The 20,473-nt window shown below is 42.2% G+C and overlaps 1 protein-coding gene and 1 pseudogene across 10 annotated transcripts in view; one reads left to right on the forward strand and one right to left on the reverse strand.

Moving 5' to 3' along the window:
• Positions 1-20,473, forward strand: part of MRPL48 (mitochondrial ribosomal protein L48) — a 77,260-nt gene that overhangs the window by 54,327 nt on the left and 2,460 nt on the right. For 7 of the 10 annotated variants that reach the window (NR_134659.2, NR_134660.2, NR_134658.2 and 4 more), the window contains 2 exons: positions 2,607-2,776; positions 17,707-17,809. The exons of 1 other annotated variant lie outside the window; for it this stretch is intronic. Coding sequence is in view for 5 of the 9 variants with exons in the window: in XM_047427121.1 (XP_047283077.1) it covers positions 2,607-2,776; positions 17,707-17,809 (273 nt within the window). In the remaining 4 variants the exon portion in view is untranslated. Of the gene's footprint in view, positions 1-1,126; positions 1,168-2,606; positions 2,777-17,706; positions 17,810-20,473 lie in introns of those variants that run through there. 2 more of the 10 variants (XM_047427122.1, NR_134661.2) reach the window with 2 other exon arrangements.
• On the reverse strand, positions 8,009-9,014 carry MIX23P5 (MIX23 pseudogene 5; annotated as a pseudogene).

Consider the following 20,473-nt stretch of genomic DNA (forward strand, 5'->3'; position numbering starts at 1 on the left):
TCAGCCTCCCAAAGTGCAGGAATTATAGGCGTGAGCCACTGTGCCTAGCTGATACTATTTTTGTACATGCTTCCAGAGATATTTTTTAAATATGCAAGCAAATAAGCATGTATGTAATTACACACATGCACACACACACATATCTATTCTCTTCCAGCTCCCCCATTTTATATGTGTGGCAACATTTTGAACACATTATTCTACAGTTTGCTTTTATCATTTGTTTTATCTTAAAGACCTTTCCAGTATCTGTACATAAAGAAGTGGTTATTTATTTATTTATTTATTTAGAGATGGAGTCTCGTTCTGTCGCTCAGGTTCGAGTGCAGTGGCGGGATCTCAGCTCATTGCAACCTCCGCCTCCCGGGTTCAAGCAATTCTCCTGCCTCAGCCTCCCAAGCAGCTGGGACTACAGGCGCACACCACCGTGCCCAGCTAATTTTCATATTTTTAGTAGAGACGGGGTTTCACCATATTGGCTAGGCTGGTCTCGAACTCCTGACCTCATCATCCACCTGCCTCGGCCTCCCAAAGTGCTGGGATTACAGACGTGAGCCACCGCGCCCGGCCCCTTATTTCTTTTTACAGCTGCATAATTTACTTAATAAGTCTCCCTCCTTTTCTGTTTTGAAACAGGATCTCACTCTGTTGCCCAAGCTAGAGTGCAGTTGCGTGACCACGGCTCACTGCAGCCTCAACCCCTCAGACTCAAGCCATCATCTCACCTGAGCCTCCTGAGTAGCTGGGATTACAGGCACTTGCCACAATGCCCAGCTAATTAAGAAAATTTTTTTTGTAGAGTCGGGATCTAGCTATGTTGTCAGGGCTGCTCTTGAACCCTTTGGCTCAAGTTATCCTCCTATCTTGGCCTCAAAGTTCTGGGATTACAGGTGTCAGCCACTGTACCCAGCTATAAGTCCCTCTCTTTATGGGCATTTAGGTTAGATTATTTTCGGTTGAGGTGCTTTCTTCTTTCTGAAGTATGTTGTGTTAAATATTTTTTCCCAGGCTTTGTTTTAACTTTTTTTTTTTTTTTTTCCCTTGAGATGGAGTCTCGCCCTGTCACCCAGGCTGGAGTGCAATGGCGTGATCTCGGCGCACTTCAACCTCGCCTCCCAGGTTCAAGTGATTCTCCTGCCTCAGTCTCCTGAGTAGCTGGGATTACAGGTATGTGCCACCATGCCTGGCTAATTTTTTGTATCTTTAGTTGAGATGGGGTTTCACCATGTTGGCCAGGCTGGTCTTGAACTCCTGACCTCGTGATCCATCCAACTCAGCCTCCCAAAGTGCTGGGATTACAGGCATGAGCCATCACGCCCGGCCTTCATTTTAACTTTTTACAGCAGCCTACACAAGTTGATATGTAGTGAAGCAATATTTTGTATGACAGAAAAGGAAGAAATCAAATAATTATTCTACCTTTCAGTTCTCAAAAGGAATGCTGTGTAGACAATTGTAGAATTTCGAGCTAGGAGTAGAAGAGAACTAATGCTGAGATTCCTTTCTGTTAATTTTTTTTCATGATTCTGATAAAACTCAGGATTCTCTCCTCAGAAACATGTACACGTAAAATTTTGCATATAAATTTTGGGGCTTGGCCAGGAGCAGTGGCTCATGCCTGTAATCCCGGCACTTGGGGAGGCCTAGGTGGGTGAATCACCTGAGGTCAGGAGTTCGAGACCAGTCTGGCCAACCTTGGTAAACCTCATCTCTACTAAAATTACAAAAGTTAGCCAGGTGTGGTAGCAGGCACCTGTAATCCCAGCTACTTGGGAGGCTGCGGCAGGAGAATCGCTTGAACCCGGGAGGTAGAGATTGCAGTGAGCTGAGACTGCGCCATTGCATTCCAGCCTGGGCGACAAGAGTGAAACTCCATCTCAAAAAAAAAAAATATTGGGGGGCTCATAGACCCCTTAATTCATATATGGGTTAGGAATATTTTAATCTAGGCTAGGTGTGGTGCTCACACCTGTAATCCTAGCACTTTGGGAGGCCGAGGCGGGTGGATTGCCTGAGCTCAGGAGTTTGAGACTGCCCTGGGCAGCATGGTGAAACCCCATCTCTACGAAAAATACGAAAAATTAGCCAGGTGTGGTGGGGTGCGCCTGTCGTCCCAGCTACTTAGGAGGCTGAGGCATGAGAATTACTTGAACTGGGGAGGAAGAGGTTGCAGTGAGCCGAGATTGCGCCACTGCCACTCCAGCCTGGGTGACAGGGTGAGACTGTCTCCAAAAAAAAGAAAAATATTTCAATCTGACATAATCCCATTGGTTTACAAATTGAGTAATAGAAGGCCAGAAATGGGAGGTGAATCTCAAAACAAGGTAATAGTATAAGACAGTCACATGTATTCATGTTCAAGTAATTCATGTATTCAAGTAATGACAGCAATATTCTCTCCTTGCATTGGCTGATGTCACAGCCTAGAATGGCAAGGGAAGCTGCTCTTTCCTTCCCAGGAGAACTTCAGTTTGTAGGTGGGGTAACCTGAGAGCAAAATGTGAACAAATTTATTAGAAAGATTGACTTTTTAAAATATCAAGATAGTATTATTAGAATTTCTTGTATAATACTTTATTTTCTTTCTCTCTTTGTTTTCTCTTCAGCCCAAGAAGAAGAAGGGAAAAGTGGAAGTGAGAGCCATTAATTTGGGGACAGATTATGAATATGGGGTTTTAAATATTCATCTGACTGCATATGATATGACCCTGGCAGAGAGTTATGCCCAGTATGTTCACAACCTCTGCAACTCTCTCTCCATTAAAGTCGAGGAAAGGTATGAAGGATGCTTTTGTATGGGATGTTCTTGGTGTGGGTAGAATGCTCTGTTTTTTTGTTAAACTAGGCTTTTGAGATACAGTTTACATGTAGTAAAATTAACTCTTTTTAGTTATATAATGTACTACAATAAAAATATAGACTAGTTCTATTAACCTGAAAAGTTCTTTGGTGCCCTGGTGTAGTCAGTCTTCTCCCTCTTCCCCACTCAAGTCCCTGGCAACCACAGACCAATTTTCTGGCCCTATTGTTTTAACTTCTCCAGAATATCATATAAATGAAATCACACAGTATGTAGCTGTTTGTGGCTGGCCTCTTTCACTTAGTATAATGTGTCTGACATTCTTTCATGTTTTTGCAAGTTTTCTTTTTAGTGGTAAAATACACATAAGTTACCAGCTTAACTATTTTTAACTGTACAGTTTAGTGATATCAAATGCATTCATAATGTTATACAAGCATCACCACCATCCATCTCCATCATGCTTTTCATCTTATAAAAATGAAACTCTAGCTGGGCGCAGTGGCTCACACCTGTAATCCCAGCACTTTGGGAGGCTAAGGTGGGAGGATCACTTGATCCCAGGAGTTTGAGACCTGCCTGGGCAACATAGCGAGACCTCGTCTCTACAAATAACAAAATTAGCTGGGCATGATGGCATGTGCCTGTAGTCCCACCTACTCGGGAGGGTGAGGCGGGAGGATAGCTTGAGTCCAGGAGGTGGAGACTGCAGTGAGCTGTGTTCTTGCCACTGCACTTCAGCCTGAGTGACGGAGTGAGACGCTGTCTCAAAATTTAAAAAAACAAGCCAGGCGCGGTAGCTCATGCCTGTAATCCCAGCACTTTGGCAGGCTAAGGCGGGTGGATCACCAGAGGTCAGGAGTTCGAGACTAGTTTGGCTAACATGGCAAAACCCTGTCTCCACTAAAAATACAAAAATTAGCTGGGTGCAGTGGTGCACGCCTGTAGTCCCAGCTACTTGCGAGGCTGAGGCAGGAGAATCGCTTGAATCCAGGAAGTGGAGGTTGCAGTGAGCTGAGACTGTGCCACTGCACTCCAGCGTGGGCAACAGAGCAAGACCCTGTCTCAAAAAAAAAAAAAAAAAAAAAAAGATTAAAAAAAGCAAACACTGAAACTGTACCCATTAAATAACTGCCCATTCCTTCCTCCCCTAAGCTCCTGGTAACTACCCTTCTACTTTCTGTCTCTGACTTTGACTATTCTACCTCATGTAAGTGGAATCATATAGTATTTGTCTTTTTGTGACTGGCTTCTTTCACTTATCATAATATCCTCAAAGGTCATCCATGTGGTAGCATATGTCAGAATTTCCTTTCTTTTTCTTTTTTTGTTTTTTGAGACAGAGTCTCACTCTGTCACCCATGCTGGAGTGCAGTGGTGCAATCTTAGCTCCCTGCAACCTCCACCTCATGGGTTTCACCATGTTGGCCAGGCTGGTCTCTAACTCCTGCCTCAAGTGATTCTTCTGCCTCAGCCTCCCAAGTAGCTGGGATTACAGGTGCGCACTACTGCACCTGGCTAATTTTTGTATTTTTAATAGAGATGGGGTTTCACCAACCACGTTGGCCAGGCTGGTCTCGAACTCCTGACCTCAAGTGATCACCTGCCTCAGCCTCCCAAAGTGCTGGGATTACAGGAGTGAACCACTGTGCCCACCTCCTTTCTTTTTTTTTTTTTTCTTTTAGAGACATGGTCTCTCTCTCCCACCCAGCCTGGTATGCAGTCATGGTCTCTCTCTCCCACCCAGGCTGGTATGCAGTGGTGCGATCATTGCTTATTGCAGCCTCAACCTCCTAGGCTCAAGCGATCCTCCTCTCTCTCCCAAATAGCTGGGACTACAGGCAAACACCAACTCGCCAAGCTGATTTTTTATTTTCCTGATATGACCTAGTCCTCTGAATGCCTGGCTAATTTTAAAATTTTTTGTAGAGATGGGGCCTCACTTTGTTGCCCAGGCTTCCTTTCTTTTTTTCTTTTTTTTTTTTTGTCTCACTCTGTTGCCCAGGCTGGAGTGCAGTGGCACAGTCTTGGCTAACTGCAACCTCTGCCTCCCTCCAACCTCCAATCTCGCCTCCAATTTCTGGATTGTATAGTAAGTTTATGTTTAACTTTATAAGAAATTGCCAAATTGTTTTCCAAAATGGCTGCACCATTTTTTATTCCCACCAGCAATGTATGAGACTTCCGGCAACTCTTCATCCTGGTCAGCAGTTGGTATCATCAATTTTTAAAAAGCTATTAATAGGTTTATAGTGGTATCTCATAGTGGTGTTAATTTGCACTTCACTAATAAATAATGATATTGAGCATCTTTTCATGTGCTTATTTGTCATCTGTGTATCTTCCCTGATGATATGTCTGTTTAAATCTTTTGTCCATTTAAAAAAATGGCTTGTTTTCTTATTGGGTCTTCAAAATTGTTCATCTATTTTTAGATAGCAGTTCCTTTTTTTTTTTTGAGACGGAGTCTTGCTCTGTCACCCAGGCTGGAGTGCAGTGGCACAATCTCAGCTCACTGCAAACTCTGCCTCTCGGGTTCACGCCATTCTCCTTCTTCAGCCTCCCGAGTAGCTGGGACTACAGGCGCCTGCCACCATGCCCAGCTAATTTTGTTTTTGTATTTTTAGTAGAGACGGGGTTTCACCGTGTTAGCCAGGATGGTCTCAATCTCCTGACCTCGTGATCTGCCCGCTTCGGCCTCCCAAAGTGCTGGGATTACAGGTGTGAGCCACCGGGCCTGGCCTAATTTTTGTATTTTTAATAGAGATGGGATTTCACCATGTTGGTCAGGCCAGTCTCGAACTCCTGACCACAAATGATCCACCCACCGTGACCTCCCAAAGTGCTGGGATTACAGTTGTGAGTCACTGCACCTGGCCACCAGTTCCTTTGCAGATACGTGTTTTGCAAATATTTTCTTCCTGTCTATGACTTATCTTGTTGTCCTCTTAACAGTATGTCTTTTGAAGAGCAGAAGTTAAGCTTAATGAAGTTCAGTTTATCAATCTTTTTCTCTTATGGTTTCTGCTTTTTCTTTTATATCTAAGAAATCTTTGCCTGACCCAGTTGCAAAAAAACATTTTCCTATGTTTTCTCCTAGAAGTTCTATAGTTTTAAGTATTATATTTAGGTCTGTGATCCATTTTGAATTAGTTTTGTATATAATGGGTCAAAGTTTTTTTTTTTGGCATATGAATATTCAGTTGTTTCCAGCACCATTTGTTGGAAAGATTTTCTTTCTCCACTGAATTATCTTAGCACCTTTTTTGACAGCCAGTTGACCATGTATATGTGGGTCTATTTCTCTGCTCTATTCTGTTACATATATGCTTACACCTGTACCCACTGTCTTGATTAGTGTAGTTTGATTACCAACTCTAACTTTGTTCTTCTTTTTCAAAATTATTTTGGCTATTCTAGGTCCTTTGGTTTTCCATAAAAATTTTTAGAATTAGCTTGTTGATTCTACAGAAAAGAGTCCGATGGGATTTTTTTTTTTTTTTAGGATTGTGTTGAATCTGTAGATCAATTTGGGAATAATTGAAATCTTAATTGTTTATATTGAGTCTTCTGATTCATTAACACAATTTCTCTCTCCATTTACAGTATTTAGATATTCTTTATCTGCTCTGCTTTTATGCATTTTTTGGATTTGTTGGAAAACTGTAGGAGAGGGAAGTAACATTTACTCCCTACCTACCTGCTCCAGTCTGGGCTCTTTACATATCTTATCTCAGTATTTCACACAGTATAGGATGCCCTCTGGTTTTCCTTAAATAACATTAAATCCCATGGGTAGAAATTTCTTCCCTTTGTAATTTTTTTTTTTTAATTTTGGAGACAGAGTCTTGCTCTGTCACCCAGGCTGGAGTGAAGTGGCGTGATCTCGGCTCACTGCTACCTCCATCTCCTGGGTTCAAGTGATTCTCCTGCCTCAGCTTCCCTGGAATAGCTGGGACTACAGGTGTGTGCCACCATGCCTGGCTAATTTTTTGTATTTTTAGTAGAGTTGGGGTTTGCCATGTTGCCCAGGCTGGTCTCGGACTCCTGAAGTCAGGCAATCTGCCTGCCTCGGCCTTTCCAAGTGCTAGGATTACAGGCATGAGCCACTGCACCCAGCCCCTTTTTAATTCTTTTTGTTTTTTGTTTTTGTTGAGACGGAGTCTTGCTCTGTCTCCTGAGCTGGAGTGCAGTGGCGCAATCTCGGCTGACTGCAACCTCTGCCTCCCAGGTTCAAGCGATTCTCCTGCTTCAGCCTCCCAAGTAGCTGAGATTACAGATGTTCCCCACCACACCCGGCTTATGTTTGTATTTTTAGCAGACATGGGGTTTTGCCATGTTGGTCAGGCTGGTCTCAGACTCCTGATCTCAGGTGATCTGCCTGCCTTGGCCTCCCAAAGTGCTGGGATTACGGGTGTGAGCCACTGCGCCCCGTGGCAACTTTTTATCTATGTTCTGTCCTTATAGTTTTGCCTTTTTCAGAATTCCATACAAATAAAATCATATAGTATTTTTCTTTTTGATTCTTCTTTTGCTTAGCATACTGTATTTGAGATTCATCTATGTTGTTGCCTGCAAGTAGTTTGGTTTTTTGTTGTTGTTGCTGAGTAGCGTTTCATTGAAAGGATGTACCACAGTTTATTCCTTTTCTGATTGAAGGACATTTCTGTTGTTTCCAGTTTTTGGCAATTATGAATAAAACCACTATAAATATGTACAGGTTTTTGTGAGAACACACGTCTTCATTTCTCTAGGAGTATGATTGTTGAGTCAAATAGTAAGTGAAGTATATGTTTGATTTTATAAGAAATCAAGGCTTGGGCACAGTGGCTTACACCTGTAATCCCAGTACTTTGGGAGGCTGAGGAGCATGGACTGCTTGAACTCAGGAGTTTGAGACCAGCCTGGGCAACGTGGTGAAATCCTGTCTCTACATAAAAAATACAAAAACTAGCCTGGCTTGGTGGCGTGCGCCTGTAGTCCCTGCCACTTGGGAGGCTGAGGCAGGAATATTGTTTAAGCCCGGGAGGCAGAGGTTGCAGTGAACTGAGATCGTGCCACTGCACTCCAGCCTGGGCAACAAAGTAGAGAGCCTGTCTTAAAAACAGCAACAACAAAAATGTAGCTTAGGTAATCTGTCACTGTGGCAAGGTAGTACATGATATAGTATGTGGATATGGCAAAAATTACACTTGCTTTTTTTTTTTTTACACTGAGTCAGAAAATTATTTTAATAACAAAAATTTTTTTTTTACAGAATCAATATAAAATAGCAGTTGATTACTCCATAATTATCAGAATTATTTATACTTGAGGTCTTGGCTAAGTGGGCTGAAATCAACAAAAGGTCTTGGACTGTTGTTGGCTCACAGATCATCCTAGGAAGCCTGCCCTCTTGATATCTGTCATACTTACCTCTTATGAGATGACCCAGTCCTTTAAAAAAAAAATCTCTCTTTCTTTATTCATTCTTTGGAGGCTTGAAGTGAATTTGACACCGTTTATTAAACACCTTCCAGCCTTTGTCTTTTACTATTTCTTCAACATTCAGTTCTGACTGCATCCATTTCAACTTTGTCTGTTCTTTTCTAAGTTGCTTTAATAACATTAAGTTGTCCAAATTATTTTCTCTCTCTTCTTGGAGGTTTTTTACTACTTCTGAGGTCTGGGCTATACAATTTTTTTTTTTTTTTTGAAACGGAGTCTCGCTCTGTCGCCCAGGCTGGAATGCAGCGGCGCGATCTCGACTCACTGCAACCTCTGCCTCCCAGGTTCACTCCATTCTCCTGCCTCAGCTTCCTGAGTAGCTGGGACTACAGGCACCTGCCACAACGCCTGGCTAATTTTTTGTATTTTTGGTAGAGACGGGGTTTCACCATGTTAGCCAGGATGGTCTCGATCTCCTGACCTCGTGATCCGCCCTCCTTGGCCTCCCAAAGTGCTGGGATTACAGGCGTGAGCCACCGCGCCCGGCCTGGGCTATACAATTTTTTATGACTCTGTTCCTACTGGCAAGAGCTGCCATCAAAGACCCATAAATTTGTTTACAGGTTTGGCTGGCATCAATTTTCCCTACAAAGGAAGCTGTTAGAACCTTAGTGTTTAATTTATATACTATTTTCTGTCATCACTTGTCCTTATCACTTTGAGTAATTCCTGGAACTGGGCAAACTCCTCCCAGTTCACACCGCCACTGGGTGCCGCCATATTGGACAAACAAAAATTATACTTTCTTACTCATTAGATATTAGTATATTCCCATTTAACAGATGTGGAAATCAAGGCTTAGAAAGGCTGAAAGCACAGAACCAGTAACTTGCCTGGATTTAAACCCAGTTCTGCCTGACAAGTATTTTCAGTTACATAGGGTCTTATTTTAAGTCCTTCAGCCAAATTTGAACTTTTAAACCTTTATACATTAGAGTGCAACTGTGCTAAAAGATGTTCTTTAGGAGATTTGATAATAAGCTGTGACTTTAGCTCTCATAGCTGACAGTACTTCAGTTCTAAAAATGTGCTTTATCTCTTTCTGATGCCCCAGAGAGTTGGTTCCTCTTTCAGCACTTGACACATACCTCATGTCACTTAGTGCTCTGGGCTCGAATGATCTATTCATGTGGCAGTTCCTTTTCCCTCTGACAGTGCATTCCTTCTGGATGGGGACTGTGTTCTTTGTTTCTTTAGCACCCACTACAAGGCCTGCCATATGGGAGACATTCAGTCATGATTGAAAGAATGACAGGTTCTTAAATATCACTATACAATCCAGTTGTGTGGTATACAGTTGCTAAATTAATGAAAGTCCTTTTAATGAATTAATTCAAAAACTATTGATTGAGCCTCTTCTTGCTATGTGGTGAGCACTGCATTAGACATTCTGGGAGATATTAAGGGGAACCTCCTAGTTTCAGGGAACGTACACACACACACACACACACACACAGTGAATGCACACATACATGCATGTACATACATACCGAGAGACATAATTATAACATAATGTGAAAGATAAACTGCAATTACAGCTCAAAGAGGCAGAGTAACATAGTAATTTAGAGTAGTGCTTCTCAAAGTACCATTCCGAGAAGATGTCAGGAACTTATGCCAAAATGTACATTAATACTTGGTTTCCTTCATTAGGAGAGTCTTGATATTAAGAAAAACTTGGCTGAATCAAGCGGTTTGTTTAGTGACTGGTTGCACATTTCTTGTCTGTCATGGACCAGTGACAATTAGGCTGTTCACTGGCAGCTTGTCTATGGACTACACTTGAAATAATATGTGGTTAAGAGTACAAGCTCTGCCCACAGAATGGGAGAAAATATTTGCAAGCTATCTAGCTGACAAGGGATTAATAACCAGAATATATAAGGAGCTCAAACAACTCTATAGCAAAAAAAAAAAAAAAAAAAAAAAATCTAATAATCTAATTTAAAAATCGACAAAAGATCTGAATAGACGTTTCTTAAAAGATGTACAGATGGCAAACAGGCCTATGAAAAAGTGCTCAACATCACTGATCGTCAGAGAAATGCAAATCAAAACTACAGTGAGATATCATCTCATCATGGCTTTTATCCAAAAGACAGGCAATAACAAATGTTGACGAGGATGTGGAGAAAAAGGAACCTTTATACACTGTTGATGGGATTGAAAATTAGTACAACCATTATGGAGAACAGTTTGGAAGTTCCTCAAAAAACTAAAAATTGAGCTACCATATGATCTAGCAATCTCACTGCTAGGTATAAACTCCAAAGAAAGAAAATCAGTATATCGAAAAGTTATCTGCACTCCCGTATTTATTGCAGCACTATTCACAATAGCCAAGATTTGGAAGCAACCGGAGTGTCTGTCAACAGGTGAATGGATAAAGAAAATGTACATGTATACAATAGAGTAGTATTCACCCATAAAAATGAATGACATCCTGTCATTTGCAACAACATAGATGGAACTGGAGGTTATTATGTTAAGTGAAATAAGCCAGGCACAAAAAAGACAAACATTGCATGTTGTCATTTATTTGTGGGTGCTAAAATTAAAATCAATTGAACTCAGAGATAGAGAGTAGTCTGATGGTTACCAGAGGCTGGGAAGGGCAGTGGGGGCTGGGGGAGAAGTGGGGATGGTTAATGGGTATCAAAAATAGAAAGATTGAATAAGATCTAATATTTGATAGCACAACAGGGTGACTATAGTTGATAATTTAATTGTACATTTACAAATAACTAAAAGAGTATAGTTGGATTGTTTGTAGCACAAAGGATAAATGCTTGAGATGATGGATATCCCATTTACCCTGATGAGATTCTTATGCATTGTATGCCTGTATCAAAATATCCCATATACCCTATAAATATATATACCTGCTATGGACCCACAAAAATTAAACATTAAAAAAAAGAGTACAAGCTCTGGAATCAAATTGTTGGCATTCATATTCTAGTTCTATCAGTTATTAGCAATATGACCTTGGGAAATTCTGAGCCTCAGTTTCCTCATCTATATAATGAGGATGATAATTTTTTCTGTTTCTTTGAGCTCTGAAAATGAAACAAGATGGTACATGACAGCACTTAGCACAGACACTGGCACATTGTAAACATTCTGTTACTAATGTTACTGTTGTAATAATTAAGAACTTTTTTTTCAGCTGGCGGGAATTAGAGATAGCTTCTTTTTTTTTTTTTTTTTTTTTTTTTTTTGAGATGGAGTCTCGCTCTGTTGCCCAGGCTAGAGTGCAGTGGCGCGATCTCGGCTCACTGCAAGCTCCGCCTCCCGGGTTGACGCCATTCTCCTGCCTCAGCCTCCCGAGTAGCTGGGACTACAGGTCCCTGCCACCACGCCTGGCTAATTTTTTGTACTTTTAGTAGGGAGGGGGTTTCACCGTGTTAGCCAGGATGGTCTTGATCTCCTGACCTCGTGATCCGCCCACCTCGGCCTCCCAAAGTGCTGGGATTACAGGCGTGAGCCACCGCGCTCGGCTGAGATAGCTTCTTAAAGGTTGATGGCAAAGAACATTAAATGTCAATCACAGAATGTTACTATCATACCTACAGTGGGTCAGTCAGTTCCTTGGAATAGTGTTTGAAATTTTTAGGACTCTTTACAGATGCTGCTTTTATAGTGAAGGGCACTGAATTTCCTGCTTTTCATCAACTAACCACGGAATTGCTGTTTTCCCTTTGGCTTTTACTTTTTGCCACATAGCTAAGTTTCTGGTTCCCCCACAGTTGGTGTGTTCACATAAGATTAGGGTCATTTTAGAAGGAATAGTTTCAATGTTTTGTTTGTTTGTTTGAGTCAGTCTTGCTCTGTCGCCCAGGCTGGAGTGCCGTGGCACGATCTCGGCTCACTGCAACCTCTGACTCCTGGATTCAAGGGATTCTCAAGCCTCAGCTTCCTGAGTAGCTGGGACTACAGGCACCCGCCACCACCACACCTGGCTAATTTTTGTATTTTTAGTACAGATGGGGTTTCACTATGTTGGCCAGACTGGTCTCAAGCTCCTGACCTCAAGTGATCCGCCCGCCTTGGCCTCCCAAAGTGCTAGGATTACAGGTATGAGCCACCGTGCCTGGCCTAGTTGCAATGTTTATAGGGTAGTTGTGGTAAGAAGCTAGTTTATTTTACATCTGGCTAAGTGGTCAGTGCTGCATGGTTGTATACTCCTGGATTATAGATTAAAAGACTATCTAGTCCAAAAACAAACAACCAACCAAAACACTTTCTTTAAAAAACTCAGCTGTAATGCCCTGGCTGCATTTGAGTGAAAGCAGGAAGGCAGTTACATTTGTTGAGCACCTACTATCAGTGAGGCACTCTGAACAAGCTAAGTACATTTTTTTGTGTATTAGTAGATCAACGTATCAAAGCTGGAGCCAAACTGCCTGAGTTTTCTTGCTCCACTGCATTCTTACTGTATGACATTGGGGCAGTTTGCTCAACCTCTTTGTGTCTTGGTTTCCTCAACTGTAAAATGGGGTTACTAAAAGCACCTACCTTAAAAGGCTACAGTGAAAATTAAGGGAGCTATTATATATAATGTACATAGAACTATGTCCAGCAACTGTTGGCTGCTATTATTATTACTATTACTATTATTATTATTATAGAAGCTTGCCCTATTCCTACACCTAATAAGTGGCAAGTTCTGGAGTTAAACCTACTTTTTTTCCTAATTCTCTATTCTTCTAACCGGTTCTCCACACAGCATTTATGGTGATCTTTCTAGATGGAAATATGATTATGTCACTCTTCTGCTTGAAATGCTTTGATGGCTTCCCACTCCCGTAGGATCACAATAAAAGTTTCTCATGTAGCTTCCTAGGTGCTCCAGGGCCTGCCTTGCCTCTCTTCACACTTCCCTCCCCACCTCCCTCTACCTCTAGTTACACTGGCTTTGTTTTTGTCCCTTTCCACCTCAGGACCTTTGCATATGCTCTTCCTCTCTTCATCTAACTAGCTTCTACTTTTTTCTTAGATGCCATCTTTTTTATTTTGAGATGGAGTCTCACTCCGTTGCCCAGGCTGGAGTGCAGTGGTGCGATCTCGGCTCACTGCAACCTCTGCTGCCCAGATTCAAGCAATTCTCCTGCCTCAGCCTCCCGAGTAGCTGGGATTACAGGTGCCTGCCACCACGCCCAGCTAATTTTTGTATTTTTAGTGGAGACGGGGTTTCGCCATCTTGGCCAGGTTGGTCTTGAGCTCCTGACCTCGTGATCCACCTGCCTCGGCCTCCCAAAGTGCTGGGATTACAGGCGTGAGCCACCGTGCCTGGCCTCTTTATTTATTTATTTATTTTTGTTTTCTTACATGTCATCTTGAATGTTACTTCTTCAGGAAACCTCATTAAGTTAGATCTTTATGTTATATATTTAGAAGAAGTAAAAGGTATTTAACTGCTCTTTCATAACATGCACTTCTTGCTCTTGTAATTACTTGACTATTATTGGTCTTTTCTATTAGACTCTAAGCTTTGTAAGGCAAGGACTATTTCTGTCTTCATTAGTGGCCTAACCCTAAGATCTTGCCAAGTACCTGACACACAGTAGGCACTGAATACAGACTTGTTGATTTGGATTGAATTCTAACAGGCATGGCGGACATGATTCCTAGAACAGCAGGATGAATGATATGCTGCTTTTTGCCTCTTTGCTGGCTCTTTGCTCCAAACAGCTCAGAGCATAAAGAGCTGTTTGTTTTTAGCAACTCAATTCTCTGCATTGATTGAGGTTTTCAGACTGTGGTATTGTTAGGCAATCTCACTACCCAGCCTTTCAGAGATGAAATTATTTTCTTCTGATTTTCATTTCATCTTAATCCATTTTTCCTTGGGGGAGGGTGGGTAGGGATGATTGCCATGACCTTGAGATGGAATTGGGCTAGACAGCAGGATGCCAGCTTTTGTTCTCTAAGTGGTTTGCACTGCTGCAGCTACAACTCACCCAGAAGGAGAGGCAAAGAAGAGGCCTCTCATGTGGGTCCCTTAATTTGCCTGCATCCTTTGCTGAGCAGCTGCCTGAGGAGATGGAAATCTCACTCATCTGGGAGCAGCTTCCAAGCCTGAAGTTGAACCAGCCCCTGTGCTCTGCTAAGAGTAAAAGCATCACTCAGCATCACTCACTATGAGGCTGCTCTTCTGTTTTTAAAAAATCTACTTACATTTTTAAAAATTGAGATATAACTTGTATAAAGTGAAGCTCCCCAGCACCCTAGCAGACTTCCTTTTGTCCCTTTCTTGGCAATACTTCCCCTAAATAGCATTATTTTGTCATGTTAGATTGACTCGTGAAATTAAATTCCTTCATTTATTTCCTTCCATTTTACTGTCTGATCATCAAAGCAATGTTTATTGCAGAAAATTTGGAAGGTACAAAATAGTGTAGACAAAAAATAAAAAATAAAAAAATAAAAAAACCCATACGTACTTTTACATACTTAAAGGCCTGTTCTACATCTTGATAAATCACTACCTCCTGTGAGGCTTTCCCTGAGCCCCCCTTTCCGCCCCTTCTTGTCCCTATAGTATTCGGCACATACCTATTATTGCCTTTGTCTTACTGTAGTACAATGTTTATATACTTACTTATCTCTTTAAAACACTCACAGTGAGCTCCTTGAAAGCATAGACCTTTTTTTTTTTGAGACTGAGCCTTGCTCTGTCGCCCAAGCTGGAGTGAGGTAGCATGATCTTGGCTCATTGCAACCTCCACCTCCTAGGTTCAAGTGATTCTTCTGCCTCAGCCTCCCGAGTAGTAGGGACTACAGGCGCTCACCACCACGCCCAGCTAATTTTTTGTATTTTTAGTAGAGACAGGTTTTCACCATGTTAGCCAGGCTGGTCTCGAACTCCTGACCTCAGGTGATCCAGCTGCCTTGGCCTCCCAAAGTGCTGGGATTACAGGCGTGAGCCACTGCGCCCGACCGACTTTTTTCTTCCTTTTTTTTTTTCTAAATAGAGACAGGGTCTCAGTAGGTTGCCCAGGCTAGTCTTGAACTCCTGGGCTTAAGCAATCCTCCTGTCTTGGCCTCCCAAAGTGCTCACATTATAGGTGGGAGCCACCACGCCTGGCCGCATAGACTTTTTTTTTTTTTTTTTTTTTTTTTGAGACAGAGTCTTGCTCTGTCGCCCAGGCTGGAGTACAGTGGCATGATCTCGGCTCACTGCAACCTCCACCTCCCAGGTTCAAGTGGTTCTCCTGCCTCAGCCTCCTGCGTAGCTGGGATTACAGGCAGCTGCCACCACACCCAGCTAATTTTTGTATTTTTAGTAGAGACAGTTTCACCGTGTTGGTCAGGCTGGTCTTGAACTCCTGACCTCAGGTGATCCACCTGCCTCAACCTCCCAAAGGGCTGGGATTACAGGCTTGAGCCACCGCATGCATAGACTTCTTTGCCCATCAGGGTGCCTAGAACAGAGCAGGCTGTTAGTAAATATTTGTTGAGTGAATGAGTAAACAAATCAATGAAATCTTGCTGAAGTAAGTGTTAAAGAATAAAACCCATTATTAGTGGCAGGAATGGACAATTCCCACTTTAGTCAGTCCTATCTGCAGAATGCCAAAAAAGAAAAATAGTATTTTAGGGTGTTTTTATTTTTCTGAAACACAATTATTTCACTTGAACATCCATAAGAAGTCTATGATTGTATCCCCATTTTTTTATGTTGGAAAGTTATTACTGTATTTGAATCAGAAGAAGAGGAGATCAGAGATAATGCTGAAAAGCAGGAGGGATGTTATTTAGAAAGACTACCTGAAAGAATTTGCAATATCTTGCATTTACTGACCTTATGCCAGGCAATTACTTATGTAATCTCATTTAATCATTACAACAACTCTGTGAATTAGGTATTATTATTTTCAATTTATAGCAGAAAAATGGAGACTCAGAAACCTGAATTCCCAAATTCAAATAGGTAATAATTGGCAGAGCCAATATTTAACTCCAGGACTGACTGTCATGTCTCTAGTCCATTTTCCATTACTTCTAAACTCCTGATCTTGTGATCCACCCGCATCGGCCTCCCAAAGTGCTGAGATTACAGGCGTGAGCCACCGCGCCTGGCCTATTACACTAAACTTCTTTTGTAGAGGTCCACCTATAGAGGGCCATGCCCCTTGCTATTAAGTGATGATTTTGTGACACATGAAAATTTAGGAATCTTATTTCATTTATCTTCAGTTTGATGAACTTTTTGATAAGATGAACACAACACTACTACCATATTTCCATGTAGCCATTAGTCCAGTCTTATCTCATTAATACACCAGTCTTCACAATTCTCTGTTGATAATAGGCCTAGATGGTTATCTTGTTTATACATGAAGAAACTGAGGCCCAGAGGGGGAATGACTTACCTAAGTAAATATTGCTAATAAGTAGCAGGACCAACACTTGACTCCATGTTCCGTGTTATTTTCACTGCAACACGTAGACTTGCTGAAGCTGATTTTAGTAAGCATAAACTCTATAATCTGGGAGAAGTTGCCCCTCAGGGGGAAATTAACAATGTTTGGAGGTAGTTTTGACTGTGACCACTTGGGGTATACTACAGATACCCAGTGGGTAGAGGGATGTATATGGATGTGTAGGTCAGCCCCTACAACAAAGAATTATCTGGTCTAAAATGTCAGTAGCACTGAGGTTGAGAAATCCTGTTCTAGAACAGTTAATTTTCATGCCTTATTTCTCCAGAACAGATTAAATACCCAAGGTTAGCCTCCAAAGCATACCTAGTGATGAGCTTGATTCTTTTTTCTTTTTCTTTTCTTTTCTTTCTTTTTTTTTTTTTGAGACAAGGTCTTCCTCTGTTGCCCATGCTGGAGTGCAGTGGCGCAATCTTGGCTCACTGCATCCTTGACCTCCTGTGTTCAAACAATCTGCCCACCTCAGCCTCCTGAGTAGCTGGGACTACAGGTGTGTGCCACCACACCTAGCTAATTTTTGTATATTTGTAGAGACAGGGTCTTACTGTGTTGCCCAGGCTGGTCTTGAATTCCTGAGCTCAAGCCATCCAGCTGCCCTGGCCTCCCAAATTGCTGGGATTACAGGTGTGCGCCACCACATCTGGTCACTTGATTCTTTTAGAATGGGCCATTCTTCAGTAGCAACAAATTATTTATTATTAATCACCAGGTTTTATTCGGAGTATTGTATTTTTTTTTTGGAGTATTAAGTATGATTAGAGATGCAGAACTGCATTAAACATGGTGTATTTGCTTAGGGAGTTTTGAAGCAGGTAAGAGGGATCTAGTTACTTTGCTCCTGGTTGCAGATAAGCATCCCCTACATTCCGGGAACTATTGCATGCCATAGTGGCTATACTCATGGACTACTATGATTGAAGTGGCTGCTGGCTTCAGTGAACACTCACTATAGCTGACTCTTCCTTCCCACAGTTATGCAATGCCAACCAAAACCATAGAAGTGTTGCAGTTGCAGGACCAAGGCAGCAAAATGCTCCTGGACTCAGTGCTTACCACCCATGAGCGAGTGGTTCAGGTAGGCACTCCAGGAGAATAAAAAATGTATTTGCTTCTCCTGGTTCTTTTCTCTGTCCACTTTTTCACTTTCTATTATGCTCTTTTCTTTTCTTTCTTGAATAATAGTGTTCTCCAGGTTCAGTTCTTGATGCCTCCATCTCTCCTTTTATAATACCTTCCCCCTATGCAGTCTCATTCATTCCTTAGGCCTCAGTGATCATCATTTAATACTGATAACCCCCAGATGTATATATCTCCAGTCCTGATCTGTTGGCTGAGGCTTGAAACTTGATACCCAGTTGTCTACTGGCCTTCTCGACTTGGATGTTCCACAGGAGTCCTCCCTGCACTCTGTCTATGCAAAATTAGTTGTAGAGGGACTGATTTTCCTCTTTTTCTGTAATCCTCCCCACCTTTGAGCCTAATGTGTCACCCTTCTTTGTCCTCTGATATCCATTCATTCACCAAATTCTATAGCTTCTACCTCCTAAAAATCTTTCAGATTCATCCACTTCACTTTACCCCCATAACAAGTGATCATGTCATTTTCCCGCTTGAAACCCCTCAGTGGCTGCCTTCCTTTGATCTCTAGCAGTTGTCCTCTTTTCTTCCTGCAGATAATGATGGGTGCCAACCACACCACCATGAGAGTACCCAGAGGTATAAAAAATTCACAGCTTCCCAGCTTTAACATCATCCCCCTTTGAATAAGAGCATTAATTGATATATAATGGACATATCATACAATTTACCAATTTGAAGTATACAATAAAAACGGTTTTTAGTATAGCCAAAGAGTTATGCAACCATCCCCACAATCAATTTTAGAACATTTTCCTCACCCTAAAAGAAACCGTGTACTCATTAGCAGTCACTCCTCTTTCTTGGTCGCCCTAACCCCTTGCAGCCACTAATCTACTTTCTATCTCTATGGATTTATCTCTTCATTTAAATGGAATTGTACATTAAATGGCCTTTTGTGTCAGACTTCTTTCATTTAGCGTAATGTTTTCAAGGTTCATCTCTGTTGTATTGGTACTTCATTCCTTTTTATTGCCAAATAATATTCCATGGTATAGGCATCACCCTTTTTTGATCCACTGAAGGAACATATCAGCAAGGTAATAAAATGAATATTAAATTTAAGTCTAAATATGCTAATTTAAAAAATAACTAAGTACAATCTTTGGCTTTTTAAATATTATCAGGATTAAATTATTTATAATATATCCTGTGACAGATCTGACATGCCAGAAGCCCATAGAATAGTTTGAATGCTTTAGGTTGGTACTCAGGTGCCTTCATGATTCTCCTCCTGCTTTTCCTCTTCACAGCCCATTTACTCCAGCCACACGTGGAGCTAGTTTGTTTTTTTTTGTTTGTTTGTTTGTTTTTGGAGACAGAGTTTCACCCTTGCTGCCCAGGCTGGAAGGCAATGGTGCGATCTCGGCTCACCGCAACCTTCGCCTCCTGTGTTCAAGCGGGTCTCCTGCCTCAGCCTCCTGAGTAGCTGGGATTACAGGCATGCGCCACCATGCCCAGCTAATTTTGTATTTTTAGTAGAGATGGGGTTTCTCCATGTTGGTTAGGCTGGTCTCAACCTACTGACCTCAGGTGATCCGCCCACCTCAGCCTCCCAAAGTGCTGGGATTACAGGCATGAACCACTGTGCCCGGCCAATGGAGCTAGTTTTAATTTCCTAACACTGTTATGCCCCTATATTTTACTGAATGCTGTTTTCTCTGCCTTCAAAATCCTCCACATTACTGTTGAATTCTCCTAGTTTAGTCTTGTTTTTCTTCAATATTTCACCCAGATACTACCTCTCCTGGAAGGTTTTTTTGATCTTCCTTGGTTGAGTTGGGTAGGAATTTCTCTTGTGGTTCCTTGCAGCCCCCTGCCTGCCCTTTTACCATACATCTGATTCACCTTGGTGTTCTTAGCACAGCGTTTGACACCAGTCAGGTCCTGGTATGCCTGGATATGGGCAAAGCTGAGTTGAATCAAAAGGCAGTGCCCGGGCACGGTGGTTCACACCTGTAATCCCAGCACTTTGGGAGAACAAGGCGGGCGGATCACTTAAGGTGAGGAGTTTGAGACCAGCCTGGCCAACATGGTGAAACCCTGGCTCTACTAAAAATACAAAAATTAGCTGGGCACGGTGGCTGACGCCTGTAATCCCAACATTTTGGGAGGCCGAGGTGGGCGGATCACCTGAGGTTGGGAGTTTGAGACCAGCCTCACCAACATGAAGAAACCCCATCTCTACTAAAAATACAAAATTAGCCAGGCGTGGTGGCGCATGCCTGTAATCCCAGCTACTCAGGAGGCTGAGGCAGGAGAATCGCTTGAACCCGGGAGGTAGAGGTTGCAGTGAGCCAAGATTGCACCATTGCACTCCAGCCTGGGCAACAAGAGCGAAACTCCATCTCAAAAACAAAACAAAACAAAAATAAAAATTAGCCAGGCATGGTGGCAGGCACCTGTTATCTCAGCTGCTTGGGAGGCTGAGGCAGGAGAATTGCTTGAACCTGGGAGGCGGAGGTTGCAGTGAACTGAGATAGCGCCACTTCACTCCAGCCTGGGGCCAACAGAGCAAGACTCCGTCTCAAAAATAAATAAATAAATAAGAAAGTCAGCCTGAGTTGGGTGCCATGGTTCATGCCTGTAAACCTAGCACTTT

The sequence above is a fragment of the Homo sapiens genome, chromosome 11 (assembly GCF_000001405.40).
Source record: "Homo sapiens chromosome 11, GRCh38.p14 Primary Assembly".
Lineage (NCBI taxonomy): Eukaryota > Metazoa > Chordata > Mammalia > Primates > Hominidae > Homo > Homo sapiens.